The sequence below is a fragment of the Homo sapiens genome, chromosome 9 (genome assembly GCF_000001405.40).
Source record: "Homo sapiens chromosome 9, GRCh38.p14 Primary Assembly".
NCBI classification, from domain to species: Eukaryota; Metazoa; Chordata; class Mammalia; order Primates; family Hominidae; genus Homo; species Homo sapiens.
The window spans coordinates 123,385,916-123,407,979 of NC_000009.12; the positions used below are offsets into that span (position 1 = coordinate 123,385,916).

General features: G+C 52.0%; 1 protein-coding gene and 1 non-coding gene across 40 annotated transcripts in view, besides 3 other annotated features; both read right to left on the reverse strand.

The window, feature by feature from the left end:
* The window catches only part of DENND1A (DENN domain containing 1A), a 550,469-nt gene that overhangs the window by 6,258 nt on the left and 522,147 nt on the right, over nucleotides 1–22,064 (reverse strand). For 13 of the 39 annotated variants that reach the window (NM_001352965.2, XM_024447622.2, NM_001400449.1 and 10 more), the window contains 2 exons: nucleotides 17,487–17,575; nucleotides 1,815–1,943 (listed from right to left, as the gene is read on the reverse strand). In NM_001352965.2, the coding sequence (NP_001339894.1) occupies nucleotides 1,815–1,943; nucleotides 17,487–17,575 (218 nt within the window). Of the gene's footprint in view, nucleotides 1–1,814; nucleotides 1,944–2,225; nucleotides 2,687–14,180; nucleotides 15,998–17,486; nucleotides 17,576–22,064 lie in introns of those variants that run through there. The other 26 variants (NR_148208.2, NM_001400446.1, NM_001352966.2 and 23 more) reach the window with 4 other exon arrangements.
* Nucleotides 1,159–1,354: a silencer, noted in NCBI's record as "fragment chr9:126149353-126149548 (GRCh37/hg19 assembly coordinates)". NCBI's record gives its function as "represses an EF-1alpha promoter that drives an FKBP-Casp9 reporter gene in an ReSE screen in phorbol 12-myristate 13-acetate-treated (for megakaryocytic differentiation) K562 erythroleukemia cells {active_cell/tissue: K562(+PMA)}" and the evidence as "EXISTENCE:reporter gene assay evidence [ECO:0000049][PMID:32094911]".
* Nucleotides 12,010–12,510: an enhancer, noted in NCBI's record as "H3K4me1 hESC enhancer chr9:126160204-126160704 (GRCh37/hg19 assembly coordinates)". NCBI's record gives its function as "activates a minimal SCP1, AML or CMV promoter by ChIP-STARR-seq in primed H9 embryonic stem cells {active_cell/tissue: H9 hESC(primed)}" and the evidence as "EXISTENCE:reporter gene assay evidence [ECO:0000049][PMID:30033119]".
* On the reverse strand, nucleotides 16,610–16,688 carry MIR601 (microRNA 601). The gene has a single exon (NR_030332.1). It is a non-coding gene; the product is annotated as a microRNA 601 (primary transcript).
* Nucleotides 16,691–17,312: an enhancer, noted in NCBI's record as "H3K4me1 hESC enhancer chr9:126164885-126165506 (GRCh37/hg19 assembly coordinates)". NCBI's record gives its function as "activates a minimal SCP1, AML or CMV promoter by ChIP-STARR-seq in primed H9 embryonic stem cells {active_cell/tissue: H9 hESC(primed)}" and the evidence as "EXISTENCE:reporter gene assay evidence [ECO:0000049][PMID:30033119]".

A 22,064-nucleotide genomic window follows, 5' to 3' on the forward strand; every position in this document is an offset into this window, starting at 1 on the left:
AAATAGTGTTCTTTTGAGCCCATTTTGAGTTAGGATGGGCTAGTTTCTTTTCAAACACACACACAAAGGCCTGTACTGACTTCTAAGGTCATGGGCTAAGGAAGCGAGCCCTCGCCGTTATTTAAATAATTAAGGCGCCAGTTAGTTCAGAGACGATATGATGGAGCTGGGCCTTGGACATGACCTGGTGGACTCCTGGCTGGGAGCAGGGTGCCTTTTCCCAAAAGGTGTTTTAAATTGACACATAGATGAACATTTCTTATGCTAAAGGTTCTCTTTTTGTTCTAATTAGCAACAGAAATAATAACTAATACATTACGCCTATGACATCATAGATATTATTGCTTAGGAGAAGGCTAATTTTAAAATCTTTTGAAAAAAAATCGAAACAAAGATTTGACATACAGCAAAAGTGACGTGTGATGCTTGGATGACACCAGCTTAGGCCACTACTTTCTTTTCTTTCTTTTTTTTTTTTTTTTTAAAGGCAGAGTCTCGTTCTGTCACCCAGGTTGGAGTACAGCAGTGTGATCTCGGCTCACTGCAACCTCCGCCTCCCGGGTTCAAGTGATTCTCGTGCCTCAGCCTCCTGAGTAGCTGGGATTACAGGTGTGAGCCACCATGCCCAGCTAATTTTTGTAGTTTTTAAGTAATGATGGGGTTTCACCATGTTGGCCAGGCTGGTCTCGAACTCCTGGCTTCAAGTGATCCGCCCGCTTTGGCCTCCCAAAGTGCTGGGATTACAGGTGTGAGCCACTGCGCTTGGCAAGGCCACTACTTTCTAAGTGAGGACACTGGGAGGGGAGTGACTTGTCTGGGTCCCCAGTGACCTGCTGGCAGGAAAGGATCAGGACCCTCTGACCCTGTGGGGTCAATGACAGAGGGCCAAGCAGCCTGGGGTTTATAAGGTCCCCAGAGGAACCCACAGGCCATCCCAGGGGGAGGGACCTGATGCTGGGGTTTGGGAACAGGGAGAGGGTGCAGGGGACATGAGGGAGAGGGAGGGAAAGGCATCTCTCTTCTGTGCAATGACCAAAACGATTAACGTGCCCCCTGGAAGGTTGCTGTGGGCACCACGGGCATCCCGCAAAGGGCAGTTTCCATTCCCTTAAAGGCTCCCATTAAAAACACATAACCGTGTTAACAAGGGCAGACAGACAAAAGCTGTCTCTCTGCTCAATGCCAGCTCTGAAACACTTGTGGGTGGAGGGGCAAGAACGGGTAAAGGAAGGAGGGCGACAGCAGCTTAATCTTAGGGGTGGCTGGATGGTGGGTGAAACTTTTAAAAATCGCTACTTGTAATTGGTATGAGGCTTAGGCTATAAATAATAATGATTAAATTATCTTTAAAAAGTCAGGCAGATCAGAACACTTGGATAGGCTGGCATTTAATATACACATTTCATATGAGGAACGTTTTCTTTTTTAACTTAAACTCTGATTCCCATCTCCATGGCTTTCCAAGATGTGCTGAGATAAAGAAGGACTTGGAGATCAACAACCAGGCTAATTGTAGTCACCAGTTCCACTAGCAATCAAGCACATTTCATCTCTAAGGGGACCAATGCTCGCGTATCACCCTGTCACCTCTCTATTGTCACAGCCTCTGTGGAGCTGGCAAAACGGATGCCCTGAGAGGTGGCACGCAGAGGTGGTGTCCACCCTGCATGTTGGCACTGGGGCACCGGCAGGCAGCAGCTCCAGACACCCTCCCCCCGACACAAAGGCAAGCAGCACCAGCCCCCCGCTTTCGCCATGCAGCCCCGCAGAGTCACCAAGCCGAGCTCAGGGAAATGGAAGAAGGAAGGAGAGACCATTCAAAGGGAGCGGAGAAGAAAAAGCTCTCGGTGAAGCCAGAGCTCGGGCCCTCTTCCCGCTGGCATTCATCATCAGAGGAGTCTTCGGAGAGGAAGACCGCATAGTGTCGCAAGGGCTTTACCAGGCTGGGGCAGAGGAAGACAAAAGAGAAGAGAACAGGCAGTTAGGGGCGCCCTCAGAACTTCACGTGCAGGCGGGAAGCAGGCCTCTGGGCTCCACGCCTGGCCCTGCCTCTGTGTGCCAGCCTGGGGTGGGGGCTCTCAGGAGAGGAAGCTCGTTCCAGATAGAAAAGAAACTAAATTTGCCACGTGTCCAGAGCCTTAAACTCATGATCCATCACATAGGACCTAGTAATTCCACTTCCATTTGGTTAACCCTCAAAGTTGGCAAAGAATCACACTGGAAGATTGTCATCACTGCTGTTTATAATATTAAAACATGGAACAACCTACACTGTCAGCAACAACTAGCTGGTGCAGTGGCTGAATCTTGTCCTCCCATGAAACGTAATGTTTATGAAGACAAATTTAAAGATCAGGATGCAGAACTGCAATCACACCACATTCGCTGTCATCTGCTTATGGAAAAATTCATAGAAAAAAGACTGGAAAGGTTCATGGCTAAACGTCAATAACAGCCAGTGGAATCATGGGTGATTTCTTTCCCCTCTGCTGCTTTTTATTTTTCTGTGTCTTATACATTTTCTACAATGAGCATATCTATTCCAATAAGCAGGAAGAAATAAAAAATAAAAAAGTTCAAGAAAAAAGTGAGCCGTGCGGAAGAGCTCTCGCGAGAAGGCCCTTTTCTGATTAGCGGCTGCTCTCTGGAGCTTCCCTCAGATGCCTCTTCAGAGAGTCTTTTTCATCTGTGATGTGGAAATTAAATATTCATTGTTATAAAAAATGCATCTCCCTTGTCAGCCACCTGTGAGCTCTACCTCTATAAACACCAACACATACACAGCCTGGAGAAACTCCACGCCCGGCTCCCATGAATTATATACTGACCAGGGCCCACCAGAGGCCATGTGCTCAGCAGGGGCGAGCTGGACCAGGCAGATCTGGGTTCAAATCCCGGCCCTTGTGCTGGGGAGTAGGTGTCTCTGTGCACCCCACCAAGAGGCACTTTGAGCCTGCTTGGTGTGAGCAGACCCGGGGTGTTCCACACCCCTGCCCCATTCTGTGGGCTGGCTTGCTCTGAGGCGAGTGAAGTCTGGGGAGAATGTGGGGCACGGGGGCTGGCATGGGCTACCTCCTCTCCCCTCACCCCCCAGCCCCCAGCTAAAGCCGTCTCCCTTCTCTGCTCTGTATGCTAGAATTCTTTTGAGGGTTTATTTCAGGAAAGGGCAACGTGTCCAAAAAAAGGACATGAGAACCACAGCTGGAGGGTGAGTGAGAGACAGTGGCTGCGCAGGGGGACGGGGCAGGTGGCCTGTGCCTGCACTTTGCTGCAATCCGCCAGGGCTGGTGCCCATCCCAGCACTTGCACATCAGAACGCTCACTTCCTCCCAGAGGCTGGCCAGGCAAAGAGTTTTGTCCTCGAACTGCAGTGGAGGTTGAGGCTCAGGAGGGGAAGCCAGTAGCCCAGGGTTACACAACAGGAGGCAGCGAGTCCCAGTGCTGGGCTTTTCTCTGCTCCCAGGCTGCCTTGCTGGCTGTCGGGGCAAGACACAACTCAGCCCTTCCTGGACTCGAGGGGGCTCTGGTCCAGGGGGCATTTTCCCGCCTCAGTGGACAGGTCAGGAAGACCTGACTTGCAGGAATCTCGGGGCCAGGGCACCACCTGGCTCCTGCCACTTCCACAGCAAAGAAGACAGAGCAGAAAGGCTACCCTCCATACAGCCACCAGAGTCTCTTTCAATCACAAACCCACACTTGTCACTCTCCTGCTAAAACCTATAAATCTGCCATTCTGAATTGTGATCTTGCTGCAGTTGGTGGTATGGTGAGTAAATAAATCTGTGGAGCAAAGGGTTAGGAATAATAATGTTCAGACATTTGCAGGGACTTGTTTCAAAGTGAGGGGGAGCCCACTCTCACTCTGCAGCACTGACTGCTCTCCTGAGCAGGTGAGGGGCAGAGGGTGCGCAGGCCGTGGGCTTCTGCTGCACTCTGGGGAGCTCGTGGGATGCACTGCTGAGCGGCCGTGCCGAGCTCCGAGCAGGGCAGTCTCCATGCTGTGTGTTGGCTCTACCTACCTCTGTGGCCCTCTCCTGGCCTCCCCTGCGGCCATGCTTACCGTCTTTGACCACACTGGGCCCTGGATATTCCCCCTCCCTGTCACCTTTGCTTGGAGCACTGACTGCTCTGCCGTCTTGAAGACTCAGCTCAGCGGGACTTCTACGAAGCCCACTGGAGGCTAGGAGAGCTCCCTGGCTGTGCCTCTTCGCACTTCATAGATACCATTTAACCTCTTGTCACTCTGTTTCTGAGTCAAGTTCCTCAAGGGCAGGGCCTGCCTTGTTCTTCTCTTTCTCCCCAGCTGGGGTACAGCATGAATGCTGTGGAAGTTTGCGAATGAATGAAAGCCAGCCTGCTGGGGGAACCCCCACTTTACCATCTTCCTGGAGCTGCACCACACTGTCCCCTTTCCCCAGACTGTGGCTGTGGTACAAAAGTGCTCCCCCTCTGGGCTCCCATCTGTTCTGAGATGCTAAGATGTGAAGAATGGGACGATGTTTGAAGGTGAGGGTGTCAGGTAGGTAGGGGCAGGCAGAAAGTGTTTAAAATGATATCAACAAGCAGGTACCGTGCTTTATAGAGGCCACTTCTACCCCTCACAAGAGCCTAACAAGAAGGTGTCGCAATACTGATTTTCTAGAGGGTGAGGGCTTCATGAGTCCACCCATCCATCTGTCCATCTGTGCACCCAACCAAGAGGCGCTTTGAGCCTACTTGGTGTGAGCAGACCCAGGCTAGCTGTGCACTGGGGCATCACTGGTGAAGAGGTGACCACGTGGCCAAGAAGTGGAGAACAGGGACTGCAGCCCGGATGGTCCACCCCCAGGGGCCTCACCCTCTCCTGTGAGCGGGGCTCGGAGTAGATGCACACGAGGGGACACCAGCCCCGGCTCGGGCCAAATGGAGGGAGGCTCTCCAGTCGCCCTCACGTCCACCTTGGTTGCCTTTCCGACACCTATCCAAGCACGGGCCCCCACCTCTGGCTCTGACAAGAGAGCACAGATCACAGCTTGACACGTTGGTGCAACGCCACTGAACCTGCCAGGAATTTCCGGCTTCACCCAGGAGCGAGGAACCTCTGCGCTGGGCTGTGCCCTGGCTTTGCTAAATCCAACTGCCGCAGTTCAGGCCACTGTCACAATCCAGCGCTGCCCACACTGCTGTGATGGTGGAGGGGGCTGGGGGCTTCCACACTGGTGTGACTGTGGTGGGCGGGGGAAGAGAGGGAACCGCAGTTTCCAGTTCAGGAGCCACTTTCCTTCTCCAGTTGGATGTACTGGCTGAGCCAGGCTGGTTGGGCAGTGATTTCCACAGGAGGCCTAGCTGTCTCCAGAATACACCACCTGTCTCTTGAAAGTGGCAGGGTACATCCAGGTGAGAAGTTTGTCATCTGATGTGGTCAGATCAGAGCTTTGTCGAGTCCAGGCCACATGGATGGCGATACTTACAAGCCTTGGGCGAAATGCTGTCCATACAATTTCTCATGAATTCTTTACTGCAACCCCATTTTGCAGACAAAGTAGCCAAGGCTCAGAGAGGGGGAGTCACTTGCCCAGGGTCACACAGCAGCTAAAGGTAGAGCTAGGAACTGAATGTGGATTTGCCAACTTTCAACCACTACGGGATCTTGCCTCTTCAGTTTTCTGGGTCAGAAACAACGAAATAAGAGATAGGGTGTTTCCTCTTTTACTTTTAATGAAAGGTGAGGTTTCAAAATAAACTTACTTAAATTCAGCTGCCCATGTTCTCCCATGAAACATACAGTCAGATATTTGTCAGAGATAAAGGATGAACCATCGAAAACGTCCAGGCTTAAACTTTTTATTAGCTTAAGGCAGAATATGAAAAAAAAAAAAAAAAAAAGCACCTTTTCCCTCATTAACCCAATTCAGCTACTCCCCTGCGGTCTGCCACCCACCACTTGCCTGGATTTTATTACACACAAAGAGCTGTCTGTGAAAAGGCAGGTTGCGGCAAACTTGGCTGCCCAGCGAGGGCTGCCAGAGTCTTGGTGCAGAAGAAAGGCTGGCCGTCCGTCATGGATCAGACCCCATCATCCCCCACGGCTGCTCCCGCCTCTGCCCACCTTGTCTCCGCGTGGAGTTCCCATGCAGATGACTTCCCGAACCCCTTCTAATGTTTGGTTTAACGTGTCGCCGGTTAGCGCGCGCGTGTGACAGTGGTGACAGGCGAGGCTGTTCCTTTTTAAATACCATGTCAGAGACACGGCGTCAGGAAGCAGGGACGTGCTCCATGCTCTCTGCCGCGCCGGGATCGCACCGGCTTATTTTTTAATGAGGAAGATCTGCATCTCGGGAGTTTTTTTCATGTGTCACATCGCGTGGACAAATCAGCAGCACGTCACGCTGGCCCAAAATGAAATGCTGACAAATGTAGATATTTCAAATTTAATTGACATTTAAATGTACTTGAGATAAAGACGGGGAAAAATCAGCCAGGACTTGGTCTCCGGAGGTGGTGAAGGGGAGCTGGTGATCATTTTTGAAAGGATCACTTCACTCAGGCACAAAGGATCCTCGCTTTGTAAATGTCTTGGCTACGCTGTGTCCCTCTGTCACGTGGCTCCAGTGGGCAGGTGCTGACGAGCAGGGACAGCCCCCAGGGTGAGGCTAGGTCCTGCCTGTCCGGTGGGTGCCAGTCTGTCTAACCATCCACTACCCTCCCCTTCCTAGTCAGGCTACCTTGGAAAAGTCACTTCATCTCCCTGAACCTAACTTTCTTGTTTAATTTTCTATTTCCATAGGTTTTTGGGGAACAGGTGGTATTCGGATACATGAGTAATTTCTTCAGCTGTGATTTGTGAGATTTTGGTGCACCCATCGCCCGAGCAGTGTACACTGAACCCAATTTGTAATCTTTTATCCCTCACCCCCTTCCTACCCTTTCCCTGCCGAGGCCCCAGAGTCCCTTATGTCATTCTTACGCCTTTGCATCCTCAAAGCTTAGTTCCCACTTATGAGTGAGAACATATGATGTTTGGTTTTCCATTCCTGAGTTACTTCACTGAGAATAAGAGTCTCCAATCCCATCCAGGTTGCTGTGGATGCCATTAATTCATTCCTTTTTATGACTGAGTAGTATTCCATCATAGATATACCACAGTTTCTTTATCCACTTGCTGATTGATGGGCCTTTGGGCTGGTTCCACATCTTTGCAACCTTATTTTCTTATCTGTAAAATGGAGATTCTGTAGCCCTCCTGAGAGTCTTATGGGAAAACTTAAATGCACGTATTCGTAAAGGGCTTTGCATGGTGCTGAGCACACAGTGACTAATCCACTACTGTCCACATGCCACATTCACCTGCCAACAAGTAGATTCTGGGCATCTGTATCCTGTGCAGGGTCTTTCCTAGGTGTTCAAGGATGAGTAAGGCAGTCCCTGCCTTCCCAGAACTTTCCAGGCATGGTTAGTGGTCCTCAGCTGAATGTATGTCAGCACATCAGAATCATCTGGGAACCCCCGTCTCCTGCCAGAGATTCCACAGCAAAGGAATCTCTGAAGTTCCAGCTACTCAAGAGGCTGAGGTGGGAGGATTGCTTCAGCCCAGGAGTTCCAGGCCAGCCTGGGCAACACAGCTAGACCGCATCTTAAAAAAATAAAAAAAAAAAAAAGAAGGTGGCTCTGAACCAAGACTGCAGGGTCTCTGGGGGTACACAGTGGCACACGCCCCATAGAAGAAACTCTGGAATTAGACTGGAGCTGTTCTCTGTGCGACCCAGGATAAGGGCTAGGACTGTTCTCAGGGAGGAAGCAATGGAGACAGAGGAAGCTACTGTACATAGGAACCTGTAAACTCAGTTGCAGGTGAATATCTACTTAAAAGCAACGACGATAAGAATTCTTGTTGCCACAAGTCACGATCACCAGCATGCTCTGCCTGTTCTGCCTGTCCAGTGAACTGGTTTAGGGGAGGTGGGAGAGATGGGTGAGTGTGAGATACCAGGTCCTTCCCGCCCCACTGGGGACTTGCTTTGCCGGAGGACAATGGTGGGGGCGTGCCTGGCTCAAGGGCTCTTGGACAAGGCTCCATTTGGGAGGTGATGTGGGAGCCAGACTTTTTTTTTTTTTGAGACGGAGTCTCACTCTGTTGCCCAGGCTGGAGTGCAGTGGCACAATCTCGGCTCACTGCAACCTCCGCCTCATGTGTTCAAGCGATTCTCCTGCCTCAGCCTCCAGAGTAGCTGGGACTATAGGCATGTGCTACCATGCCTGGCTATTTTTTTTATTTTTTATTTTAGTAGAGATGGGGTTTCACCATGTTGCCTAGGCTGGTCTTGAACTCCTAAACTTAGGCAATCCATCCGCCTCGGCCTCCCAAAGCGCCTGGCCAGAGCTGGACTTTTAATCCTGAGCATGGGAGAGGATCATAATGACCTGGAGGCATCTCCGAGAGGGGCAGGCACAGGGAACTCCATGTCCGGGTGGGGAGTTCAAGAGAAGAGGCTGGAGGTTGGCAGGGACCAGGTCGTGGAGGGCCTGGAGCCAGCGCAAGGATGAGAGGTGACGTGCAAGTCTGGGGGTGGTGCAAGGCCTTGGGGTGGCTGCAGTCAAGCAGGAAGCATGCCTGGCTGCCCATCCCCCTCTCTTGGGTTATGCCCTTGGCTTCTTCAGCCTTTATTCGGGCATTTATTTGATTACTTCTCAGTCTGTAGGTTCACTCCTTCCTTCTTTCAACAAAAATCATGAATGCCAATTTCACACATCCATACCCGTGCCCCAGCATGCCCGAGAAGCCCTTCCACGACCACTGGCTGGACACTCACATAGGCAGTGGCCCCAGCACAGGATGTGGGCTTCAGGCTCTGCGGTGGAGGGAAGATGGGGCTGGGAATGCCTTGGGGGCACTTTCCTCTGCAGGGAAGAGGCACTGTGCAGAACACCTGCCCCTCACCCTGAGGACAGCCTCTGCATCCTGGAGCCCAGATCTGGAGACTGAGTTCTGGGAACTGTGGGAGCAGTGGTGGGGGCAAGAAAGTAGTGGCTGTGGGACCTGGCTGCCCGGGTGCACATCCTGGACTGAGGGTACGTCATTCCACTGGCTACAGCCGTGGCTCCCTCATGGCTGAATGCCCAGGCTGCGAAGATTTTTTGGGGAGCAGGGAGCTTAGCCAAGACAACACGTGTGAAATTGCTGGGCACAAAACAGGCAGTTGAGAAATGGCGATGTGGCATCTGGAAGAGGCAGAGGGCTAGGTGGGAAGGCAAAGCCTTTCAGGGGTGACTGAAATCAGTCATGTCTTGAGGATGAGGCCCCTGTTCCTAAAGCATCCCCAAGGCTTGGTTTCCAGTTAACTCCCTGTGGTGACAGCTCCTGGGAAAAGTCCTTCCCTCTGATTTGCCAGGCAGAAGAGGCGACAGACAAATGGGTCCCGTGTCTTCCGGGGCTGCTGCAGATCCTTGGGGGGATCCTGGGTGGGCAGAAGTGAGGTATTCTTGGCACTTCCTGCTCTTCCAGTTTAGGCTCAGGCTCCACGGCTGGCTTTAGGCTTGGTTTTGTCTCCAGGGCCCAGAATCTACTCTCTCTCTCTGTGTGTGTGTGTGTGTGTGTGTGTGACAGAGAGAGAGAGAGAGAGTGAGAGTGAGAGGCCTCTAGCCCTGCTAATTGGGTCTGTGACCTTCTGCTCATGTGTTTGGATAGCTGGCTGCTAAGGGAGTGGGCCCTGGCAGCCTGCCAGGGGGTAGAGCCCAGACAGCTGCCCCTACCCCCTGGGGCCGAGGGCCCAGCTGGCATCTTGGAGACTTGCTCCTGGGGCTGAGCACAGTTCCTGGCTCTTAGAGGGCTGGGGATGCACTGGCAGCTTCATACGCACGTCCTAATCACACCTGGCACACAGTAGGTGCTCTTTACCTGTTTGTGGTTGTTACCGGACGCCCCTACCCCGCCTCCCAGGTGCTTGACTGCAAGCCGCACTCTGCCTTCAGATTCCTTTGTTCATTCACCCAGGAAACATCTCAGAGCAGAGGTCTGGGCTCGGATGTGGTCCAGGAGTTGGAGAGTCAAAGCTGAGGAAGAGCTCACAGACTACTGGTGTGCCTGGTGTGTGTGTGTGTGTGTGCACGCGTGTGAGACAAAGAGAAAGCTACAACATGGCCGGTCACCGCCAGATCAGGAGACGCACAGGGGATTGTGGGCGTGGGAGGGAGGAGAGTGGGTGGTTCGTGGGGGAGGTGTTGGGGTGTCGGAGTGCTGAGATAAGGCCAGGAGGGAGGCCACGCGCTCTGCTCACTCAGGATGCCAGTGCCTACTGTGGGCCTTTTCCCCAGCCACGCTCCTGGAGATGTTAATAGGCATCATGTTAAGAAAGGAGGACCAGGAGACATGCCCATAGCCTCCAGGCTGGTGCCTGGTGGGCCAGGAGGCTGACTCAGGCCTGTTGGATGCCAGAGCTCTGCCCATGCACCAGGCCGCCATCCAAATGATGGGCCCACGCCCCCAGGGCAGCAGTGGGGCTGTGCAGGAGGGAAAGTGCTCTACCCCTGTGTGATCCACAGCTGGGAGCAACTGATCTGCTGAGGCTATGCTGAGTCTAGGCTCGAGGAGGGCAAGGCCGTTGAACGTGCACAAGCGGCACGCCAGCTTTTGCCAGAGCATGTGTGTGAGTGTCCAGAGTCCCTTGCAAAGTGTTCTGAGACCTGGGCTTCGGGCGGGGTTTTCTCACTAAATGCTTCTGGCAGCTTCTTCTGATCTTATTTTAATCTTCTGGGGCTTTGGTGCTGGGGTCACGCAGTGCAATTCAGAGGATCAGACACTCCAATTCCTAGGCAGCAAGGGTCAGGCATTTGGGGTAGAGACTGTCTACCTAGCTAGCATGGCCTACAGAAGTTTTCCTTGTCCAGAAGGATTCGGACACATGTTTGAATGCCAGTCACATGTTTCTCTGGGTCCCTCAGAATCAGATGTCCGGGAGTCCAGTTCTGGTGAGGGTATAAGGTGGTACAATTCTTCAGAAAGTTATACAGCAATATGGAGCAGAAATCTTCTTACAACTGGTTAAGGGTAAAGGCTTTTGGTCTTAACAAGGCATGTTTGAGGCTCAGGTCTGCTACTAACTAGCTGTGTGACCAAGGGCAGTGACAATCTCTTGAAGTCTCAGCTATTTCTATAAAATAGATCTCATAAGACCTCCCCCTACATATTTCTTGTGAGGATTCAATGAAATGGTGTATGTAAAGTGCTTAGCACATTCCCAGTTAATGGGAGTTGTCAATAATTCCGTTTCCTTTTTCTTTTTTTTTAGAGTCTCACTCTGTTGCCCAGGCTGGAGGGCAGTGGCATGATCTCTGTTCCCTGCAAACTCTGCCTCCTGGGTTCAAATGATTCTCCTGCCTCAGGCTTCCGAGTAGCTGAGATTATAAGTGTGTGCAACCAAGACCGGCTGATTTTTGTATGTTTAGTAGAGACGGAGTTTTGCCATGTTGGCCAGGCTGGTGTCGAACTCCTGACCTCAAGTGATCCACCCACCTTGGCCTCCCAAAGTACTGGGATACAAGCATGAGCCACCGTGCCCAGCCTAGAATAAGGATATTTACCCTGGCATTTTTTATATTAATGAAAACCTGGAAAGGATCTAAAGATCCAGTATGAGGGCAATAGTTAGGCAGACCATGAGCATACACACAATGAGATCCTCTGCAGTCACAGACAATAGGGGTTACAGAGACACACGGAACAAGTCCACATGCTGGCATATTGCAAGGAAGTTGCAGCTCTATAAAAGACATGCAGGATAAAGACTGGGCATGGATCTCCAGGAATGCTAATATGTAGTGGAATGAAAGTAATGGGATTCAGAATGAATTTGTCTCTTTTCCCTAACATTCCAGATTGTCTATCAGGCTACCGGGTAATTTTTACAAACCAAAAATTACCTGAAAAGAGCAGATTTTGCACGGATCTGGCCAGAGAAGTGAGCTGGGCAGCAGCCCTGGGCCCTGGTGGCTGAGTTTGGACCCTTCTTACTTAGTACAGTGGAACTTCAAATAACCAGGATGCAGCCAGTCAAGACCCTCGTGTGACTGGAGAGTGTTCAGTGTCTCACCCATTAGGAGACAAGGTGTGCAGTCGAAAGCACTTGGCTCTGCATGCAGGTTGTCAGGAGGGGCACCTCAGATCCACAACCAGCTGCAAGCCCCTTAACCCTTAAGACTCAGAAGACAGCCCTACATCTGGGCTGTGAAGATTAAACAGGTGGCAGATGCCTGTAATTATCTCCCTCCATACTCTCAGCAACTCTGTGAGGGCCAGTGCCCCAGCCCCTACTGCCACTTCCCAGCAGGGAACAAATGACTAGCTGCCTGGCAGAGAGATGCACCCCGGGATCAGTGTGTCACTCCCTGCCTTGGCCTTAGTCTGCACACAGTGTGCCATCATGAGGGGCCCGGCGGCTCAGACCACAGTGCTGCCTTTCAGAGCCTGCCATTGGCTTTTTTTTTTCTTTTTCTTTTTTATTTGAGACGGCGTCTCACTCTGTCACCCAGGCTAGAGTGCAGTGGTGCGATCTCGGCTCACTGCCAGCTCCACCTCCCGGGTTCACGCCATTCTCCTGCCTCAGCCTCCTGAGTAGCTGGGACTACAGGGATCCACCACCATGCCCGGCTAATTTTTTGTATTTTTTTTAGTAGAGACGGGGTTTCACTGTGTTAGCCAGGATGGTCTTGATCTCCTGACCTCGTGATCCGCCCGCCTCGGCCTCCCAAAGTGCTGGGATAACAGGCGTGAGCCACCGCGCCCGGCCACCATTGGCTCTTTCTAAGCACCCAGTTGGATGGGCAATTTACCTATACCTGGCAGACCAAAAGGAAGATAACTTGGGGCCTCGCAGCTGTGCGCACCCCATGGAAACCACCACACAGCATTTTTTTTTTTTTTTGGAGACAGAGTCTCGTTCTGTTACTCAGGCTGGAGTGCAATGGTGTGATCTCGGCTCACTGCAAGCTCCACCTCCTAGGTTCAAGCGATTCTCCTGCCTCAGCCTCCCTAGTAACTGGGATTACAAGCATGTATCACCACACCCAGCTAATTTTTTGTGTTTTTAGTAGAGACGGGGTTTCGCCATGTTAGCCAGGCTGGTCTTGAACTCCTGACCTCAAGTGACCCGCCCGCCTCGGCCTCCCAAGGTGCTGGGATTACAGGTGTGAGCCACCGCGCCCGGCCGTGGCCTGCTTTTAATAGGAGGGGAGCTGTGAACCTCACTGTGCTCACTGCCGTAGCCGTCGTCCCCACCAGTCAGAGAAGCACGTGAGGATAATTAGGTCTTAACAAAAAGCCTGGAGAGTAGAGAAGAATGGACCAGGCTTCTGTCATCAGACAGCCGATCCTACCATTTTCTGGCCCTGAGAAACCTTGGGCAAGTTATGAAAGTCTCTCTGAGCCTCAGTTTTTCTGTCTGTTCAATGGGAAAGCTACCACCTACCTTTGACAATCTTTTTTATTTTATTTTTTGAGATAGGGTCTCGCTCTGAGGCCCAGGGTGGTGTGCAGTGTCATGATCTCAGCTCACTGCAACCTTCAACTCCCCAGGGCTCATGCAATTCTCATGCCTCAGCCTCCCGACTAGCTGGGACTACAGGTACACGCCACCATGCCCGGCTAATACCTCTGACAACCTTAAGGGATGTTGGTGAATGTCATTCCTCTTTCCTTCCCCAAGAAGAAACACTCAGGCACCAGTGCACATGGTTTCTTTGGCGGTGAGAAGACTGAACAGATCCGGTTCCCAACTCCAGCCTTCAGGGAGCCAGAGAGGAAGGGTGGCCTGCTGGGCAGGCCATCATCTCATTTTAGGATGTGGAGCTGTCTCTCTGGGCAAAGCCAGACTAAAGATGAACCCTGAAGGGCCCCGTTCCAAGGACAGCATCAGAATGTCATGGAGAGAATGAAATCAAGAATTCTGAATGCTGGCCTGGCCACTTTTCAACTGGGTGACCTTGGGAAGACTGGTCAAATCCACATTCTGGGCCTGAGCTCCCACTCGGGAAGAAACGATGCTAGCCCAAGAGGGCCTAGAAATCAATGGGTGCTCCACCGCGCCCCCTGCTGACTGGTGTCTGACCCACAGCCTCTCATGCAGGATCCCTCCTACCCCGATCCCTGCCCCACGGAAGCCCCTGGGCGTCACATCAGCTGTGCTCTGAATAGTAATGGAAGTAGCCAGTACTTCTTGAAGAGATTTAGTAACTGAATATTAACCAAGTAATGTTACCTGAAAAGTAAAGGGAATGTTTCCCCCACAAATCTTCAAAAAAGTCTTCTTCCAATTGCCAACGGCCAGTTTTAAGGGACTAGGAAACCTATCATTGATTCAGAAAGAAAATTTGACACAGGAAAATTTCATTTTGGGAAAATGCAAGTCAACCAAGAGTCAGCATGGGGACTCCCTTTTAAGGCCTCCTTTAAAAAAATCGTCCGTGCTTGCGCCTAGTAGGTTTTCAAAGATACTTGCTGAATGAATGAATGCACGAATGGACAGATGGAATGATGGAGGGATGGACATCAGCTGGGAAGGAAGAAATGAACTTCAGGGGTGGACTGGCCAGAGAGTGGCTGGCTAGTGTTTCTGGGCCCTGATGAGTCCCAGGATGCTCAGCTACTCCAGGAGACAGTCTTACTCTTAATCAGCCCCATCTTGCTGTCCACAAAGCTGGTTATTTTATTTTTGAGACAGAGTCTCACTCTGTTGCACAGGCTGGAGTGTGGTGGTGTGATCTCAGCTCACGGCAGCCTCCGCCTCCTGGGTTCAAGTGATTCTCATGCCTCAGCCTCCCGAGTAGCTGGAATTACAGGGGTGCGCCACCACACTCGGCTAATTTTTGTATTTTTAGTAGAGACGGGGTTTCGCCATGTTGCCCAGGCTGGTCTCGAACCCCTGACCTCAGGTGATCCGCTCGCCTTGGCCTCCCAAAGTGCTGGGATTATTTAATGTGCAATTGGAAGTGAGAGTTGGGGCAAGAAGTCAGGAGGAATGAATCTCTCCTCTCCACTTCAAAGATCCTGCATCCCCTTCTGCTGCCCCAGTCTTCTAAGTTTCCCAAGCACTTTGATATTCCCAGTGGAGATGAAGATCTGTGATTCAAGAAAACCCAGGCCAGATTAAAGGGCCAGGCACCAAGTCCGTGTGCCCAACACGGAACCACCACCTGACAAAGGCCCATTAGGATCGGGCCCCTGCTGCCAGCCTGGCTTCTCACATCTCCCAATACAATGCCGACAGATTGGTGGAGCCGGTTTCTTCCCCCTCCCCCGAACAATATTTTATGAGGAGTCTGTTTTATTAAAATATTTTCCGCTGGATGCTTCCTGTGTTTCAAGAAGTTGGTCCTGCCAGCTGGAGCTGATGACAGTTGAGAAAAACACATCCAAGTGCTGTTGTGACATGGCATTTGGAAGGGGCGGAGCACAGTGGGGGGGTGGGGAAGCAGCATGGGAAGAGGCGTAGAAAAACACCCGGGTTGCACTAGAAATACCACTGGTATTATGGGAGAACAACTTCCCCTTCCTCGTTAAACAAACGTGAACAGAAACCCTTGGAATGATGTCCTGAAACGTACCCCTCTGTCTCCTTGTGGGCCCGAGCCACTGTGACGTACGCTCACAGAAAACCTGTCATTTGTTTTCTATCACTGGTAGTTTGCCAACCACCAAACTGGCTCCCATGCTCCCACTGGTTTATTTCAACCCCAAATATTTTCCAACAGAAGTAGAAAACAGGGCATATTAAACAAACAACAAACCAACCAACCAACAAAACTAAAAGTGATACTGACACAGTTCAGGTGATAAGCAGGAAAATGGGATTATCAGACACCGGCTCTTTGGCACACACTGCGAAGTCAGCCCCTCTGCCCAGTCTGGAAAAGCAACGGCGTAAGTCAATGTGATGAAGAGGTCCAGCCTCTCGTCGGGAACTTGGCCGCAAAATGGGTAATGCTTTTCTGTAGGATGTGGAGTGTAGCTGGTGTTGCAATGGTGTTTCTGTGTAATGCAAGAATATTCTGGGTTTACATCTCAATATCAACAGGCCTGTGACCCTGTATCCTGGTACAGTGTCTAAAAGGTTTAGTCCAGTTTTAAAGAGGGGACTTCAAAGAAATGTGACAAATTTCATCCCCTTAAGGAGGAATCTTTAGTCCGAGGCACTCAGGTGCCATGCAGCGTTCTCTCCATAAGGGGGCAATCATAATCCATCCCTCATGTTCCCACCAGGCTATTGTGCAGAGCAAAAGTTAAACTTAACCCAGCTTCAGGAGTCCTCTCTTCCAAATGTCTAATAACTGAGCATCCTTGTGTGCAAGCGCACACGTGCACACACACACACACACACACGCACGCACACATATAATTCTGGAACTTTCTGGGCAAAGTCTGAGGGCTGTCTGGGTGGGCTGGTTCCTTAAAGACCGTACCCTCGCTATCAACCAGAAAATCCTGGAGAGCTGAAGTGAACTGCAACTTGGGTTAGGCCCCAGCTTGACAGCTCGAAATCATTTTTTTTCCTTCTTGCTCCAACTCTGACTGGGACCTGCCATGTCCCTTACCTTCTTTCCCATTTTCTGAGAGCCAGACAGACATGGGGGCCTCCCCCTTTCCACCCAAAGGACTTCAGGATCCCTGGGGTAGTTTTTCTGACTCCTCCAACAATCCTAGACCAAGACGAACTCATGCACTTTTTCAAGGCATCACAGGAAGTCAGCGTGTAGCCGCTGAGTTGTCTGGATAGAGACTGAGGGCTGTGCTCCTTTTGCGGACAAAGGGAAGCAGTGCTACCTTCTGCAGATGGCTCTGGTCTGGACTCGGGGCTATCTGCAGCCTTCTGCCTCACCCCACCACAGGCAGGTCCACTTCAGTCCACTGCTTGTCTTTCTGCCCCCCTCATTCACTTCATCTACCCCACGCCTCCTGAGCAGGTGACTCTAGGCCAGTCCTACGGGAGGTGCTGGGCATAACACCCAGGGAGCTCCGCGTCTCAGGGAGATGGGTAAGAAAAACCACAGTAACATAAATCCTCCGGCACAGGTGGGCAAAGGGTCCTGGTGGGTCTGGGGCAGTGGATGAGGGCAGTCCTGTATATAGGTTCTCGGCCATGGAGGCCTAGGAAGGTGGGTGGATCCAGTTCAACACTTGGCCTCCTTCACCAGGTTCTAACCCTCACCTACTGACTCGGCATCTTCAGCACAAGAGGCCTAGGACCTTCTTCTGAACCCAGCAAAGTATGCTTTGGACCCCACCCCTCGAAATCCAGCCCAAGTGCCCGGCTCCCTGGCCTCTGGGGCCTCCCACTGGTGTGACAACCAGACCGAGTAAAAGATCAAGTCCTGTTCCCTGAATGACCCCTTTGTGAAACACCCGCTGGGAGCCCCGGGGAAGCCTCACAAAGGCCGGGGCTACACGCTTGGGCTTCGCAAAGTGCTGGCTCCGCAGACACAGGGTTCTTACAGACAGAGGGGAGAGGCACAATACTCACTGCTCAGGGCTCGGCACAGACGTCCTCCGGCCTTCCACTGCGATGTTGCTCTTTGGTCTCTTAACAACATGTGGACGAGGTGGGCGCACCTAGAGGAGGTACAGGGGGAGAGCCCCAAGAAGGAGTGAGTTGGAAAAGCCATACAGGTACATTCTGAACATTTGGATAAACGGCCCCCCCAAAAAACGTTTAGGGATTTTCAAAGCTACAGGCTACAAAAGCCCAGCCTATCACAGAAACATCACCATCTAATAGGCAGCAGACAGACACATTAACTGGAATTCTGTGGCCTATTCAAATCAGAAGGGTGCTCCTGGAAAGCTCGGTTTCTTCATCTGCAAGATGAGGATAGTTCCATTGGCCTCCTTGCAGGGCTGTGGTGAGGGTCCAATGAGATGATGTCTACATAGGACCCGGAACAAAGAGGCCCTTATCAATGACAATTCCCTCTCATCTTCCTCTGATGCCCAGAAGCTGGTTTTGTAGAAAGAAAAGGTTGCGCTTACACTTGTTTTTAGGGTGAACATGCTTAGTTTGCTCTTTTTACAACAGAATCACAGGGTGCTTATTTTCCTCTCTAAATAAGAGAGGCATGAGAGAGTGCCACTACAAATCGTCTTTCTGCTTCCCAGAGCATCCCTGTGCTAGTCCTCCCAGCAGGGTTCAGCCTGGATGCTGCCCATCTTGTGTAGCTACATGCACTGAGCAGACCTAGTGGGAGGGTCTGCAGTGGGCACATCAGGAAGGACCCAACTTCCTAACCCCACAGCTGCTGCAGCAGCGGGATGGGTTTTTCTGACCCGCTGTCTCTGAAAGCGAACATGAGGGCCCACAGAGAAAGACACCCTCATCCCCTGCCAGAGTTCGTGATGGATGTTAGGCTGAGAATTTCTAGGTGCCCTTAGAAGGATACTCATTTGGTCCAGTCGACATTACATGGCTTTAAATTTGGCATGGCCATCTCTGTACACTCCCAGTGCCCGAGAGGGATGGGTTGAGAGCTAAGCTGAGAAAGTCTATCTCTGAATTTCATTGCTGATAAAAACAACCGAGCCTGCCGGGGCAGGGGGCTTGCTTTCTCCACGGATGGGATGCCACAACTGCTGAGTTTCCAGGACAAGACAGGGAAGGGAAGCAGGCACACACTCCACCTCCTGCCCACCCTTTGAGTTTCCAGGACAAGACAGGGAAGGGAAGCAGGCACACACTCCACCTCCTGCCCACCCTTTGAGTTTCCAGGACAAGACAGGGAAGGGAAGCAGGCACACACTCCACTTCCTGCCCACCCTTTGAGTTTCCAGGACAAGACAGGGAAGGGAAGCAGGCACACACTCCACTTCCTGCCCACCCTTTGAGTTTCCAGGACAAGACAGGGAAGGGAAGCAGGCACACACTCCACTTCCTGCCCACCCTTTGAGTTTCCAGGACAAGACAGGGAAGGGAAGCAGGCACACACTCCACTTCCTGCCCACCCTTTGAGTTTCCAGGACAAGACAGGGAAGGGAAGCAGGCACACACTCCACTTCCTGCCTACCCTTTGAGTTTCCAGGACAAGACAGGGAAGGGAAGCAGGCACACACTCCACTTCCTGCCCACCCTTTGAGTTTCCAGGACAAGACAGGGAAGGGAAGCAGGCACACACTCCACTTCCTGCCCACCCTTTGAGTTTCCAGGACAAGACAGGGAAGGGAAGCAGGCACACACTCCACTTCCTGCCCACCCTTTGAGTTTCCAGGACAAGACAGGGAAGGGAAGCAGGCACACACTCCACCTCCTGCCCACCCTTTGAGTTTCCAGGACAAGACAGGGAAGGGAAGCAGGCACACACTCCACCTCCTGCCCACCCTTTGAGTTTCCAGGACAAGACAGGGAAGGGAAGCAGGCACACACTCCACTTCCTGCCCACCCTTTGAGTTTCCAGGACAAGACAGGGAAGGGAAGCAGGCACACACTCCACTTCCTGCCCACCCTTTGAGTTTCCAGGACAAGACAGGGAAGGGAAGCAGGCACACACTCCACTTCCTGCCCACCCTTTGAGTTTCCAGGACAAGACAGGGAAGGGAAGCAGGCACACACTCCACTTCCTGCCCACCCTTTGAGTTTCCAGGACAAGACAGGGAAGGGAAGCAGGCACACACTGCACTTCCTGCCCACCCTTTGAGTTTCCAGGACAAGACAGGGAAGGGAAGCAGGCACACACTCCACCTCCTGCCCACCCTTTGAGTTTCCAGGACAAGACAGGGAAGGGAGCAGGCACACACTCCACCTCCTGCCCACCCTTTGAGTTTCCAGGACAAGACAGGGAAGGGAAGCAGGCACACACTCCACTTCCTGCCCACCCTTTGAGTTTCCAGGACAAGACAGGGAAGGGAAGCAGGCACACACTCCACTTCCTGCCCACCCTTTGAGTTTCCAGGACAAGACAGGGAAGGGAAGCAGGCACACACTCCACTTCCTGCCCACCCTTTGAGTTTCCAGGACAAGACAGGGAAGGGAAGCAGGCACACACTCCACCTCCTGCCCACCCTTTGAGTTTCCAGGACAAGACAGGGAAGGGAAGCAGGCACACACTCCACTTCCTGCCCACCCTTTGAGTTTCCAGGACAAGACAGGGAAGGGAAGCAGGCACACACTCCACTTCCTGCCCACCCTTTTTCCTGAACATCGTACCCCCCACCCCCCAGAAGCTTGTGGGTGACACGGCACGGTGGCTTAGGGACACAGATGATAGAAGCTGGCTGCATAAAAGACAAGTCTTTACAGAGTCTTGTCAAGCCCTCAGGTCTGCGCACGTCTGATCTAACCAAAGTTTTTCCTGTGGAGTGGCCAGTCTGATCTCAGACAGGTTTGGCATATCAGGGATGTGGTAAACACCAAAGGCATTCCACCAAACTGGCTGTCTTCATCTGTGGGGTGATTGTGAAGCCCGGATACAGGGAAAGTCCCCCCAAGGGGTCTGGTACACAATGGGGGCTCAATAAATGCTCATCCTGCTCCTCTGTGACCTGGATGTCCCTTCTTGTCAACAACAAAAGGAAGACGATGAGTGGGTGTCTCTGAATTAGAAGATGAGTTTTAGGATTCTCTTACCCCTGCCTCGCATTCTGTGGACTGCCTGGTATGTCATGGTTGCTCAGCAAGATTTTTAGAAACGAATGAATGTTGCTGCTCGGAATCTGAGAAGTGCATAATGACGCTGCGAGTATCATCGTGATTAGAGCTGGGCCTGCCACACAGCTCACATTCAGTCAACACGTGCTGAATAAACAAGTGGGTATCCCTGCACCCCTTCTGACTCTGCACTGGTTTCCCCAGCTCTGGCAGCTGGTCAACAGGGTCACCTGGCTGGAATGATCCCCACCCCCAACTTCTGCCCACAAAAGCAGGAGTGTGGGTAGGGTGAAGGAGCAGTTCTGCCCCTGCCCCGCGGGGCCCCGGGGCAGAGCTTTCAGGAAAGGTCAGACTTTAAGGCCTGTCAGCTCATCCTTGCACAGGGCTGCTCCTTGCTACAATAAAGGCGGGTTAAGAATGTGAACTTGTGGCTGAAATGGGGGGATTAAGTTTGTGGCAACTTCAACTGAACTTGCAACGTGGTGAAACATGGGGAAAAAGAACAACAGAGCTAATTAGACGAGCTGAGCTGTCAGAGTGCCGCTGAATGGCTCAGCGCCAACAAACAAAAGGAATGGGTTGGCAATCAGCGGGATCGGTGGAGGAGACTGCTTCATTAGGGATGATAAAACAGACAGAGCAGGGGGGGAGGGGCGGGGGGGTGGGGAGCACGGAGCTGGAGCCTCGGAGGCTGGGGAGGGAGAGAAAGACACGCCAGACCCAGAGGCGGTTGGTCACCAGCATGGCTGCCGACCCACCCAGAGTCACACACACCTGACTAGTGTGGACAAAGCCAGACACAAAATTACACTCACAGACCTGACCATCCCGAGATACATCGAGGCCTCCAGACTTCCGTGTACACACTATCTCACAAATACACACTCACAGAGGCACGCGCAAGAGGTGAAGGCACACGTATGACTCACACACTCACACACACACCCCCTCACACACACACGGTGGCAGACCACAACCAGGCACAGACACACACAGACAAAACGGTTTAATGAAGCCCGAATCACAGACGATGCAGACAAGTCTTGTCATATTTCAGCGATCACACCCATGTTTCGGGGGTGCTTAGGAAGGGTGGGTACTGGTGATGAAGGAAGAAACCCACAGGCACACACAACAGTGACTGGCCCCACCGGTGTGAGGATCCCAGCCGCGTCCGGGGAGAAAATGCTAAACAGAGATTTCCAGCTCTGTTCAAGGGGGACTGGAGGGGAAACTTGGGAAGCCAGCCAATTCCCCACTGGATTTAAAACCTGAGAAATCTAAGTCGGCAGGGTTAAATGTGTATTGAATACAAAAGCACTGAGTACATTTGATTTTAATGGTGAGCAAGAAATAATAAATACAGAGCTTATAAAGTGCTTCACACGCAGGCCGACGGCAGCCTGCCTTTCCCTGGCAGGCCCCAACCCATGCCCCTTCGTCCAGGAGACACTGGCATGGTTTTCT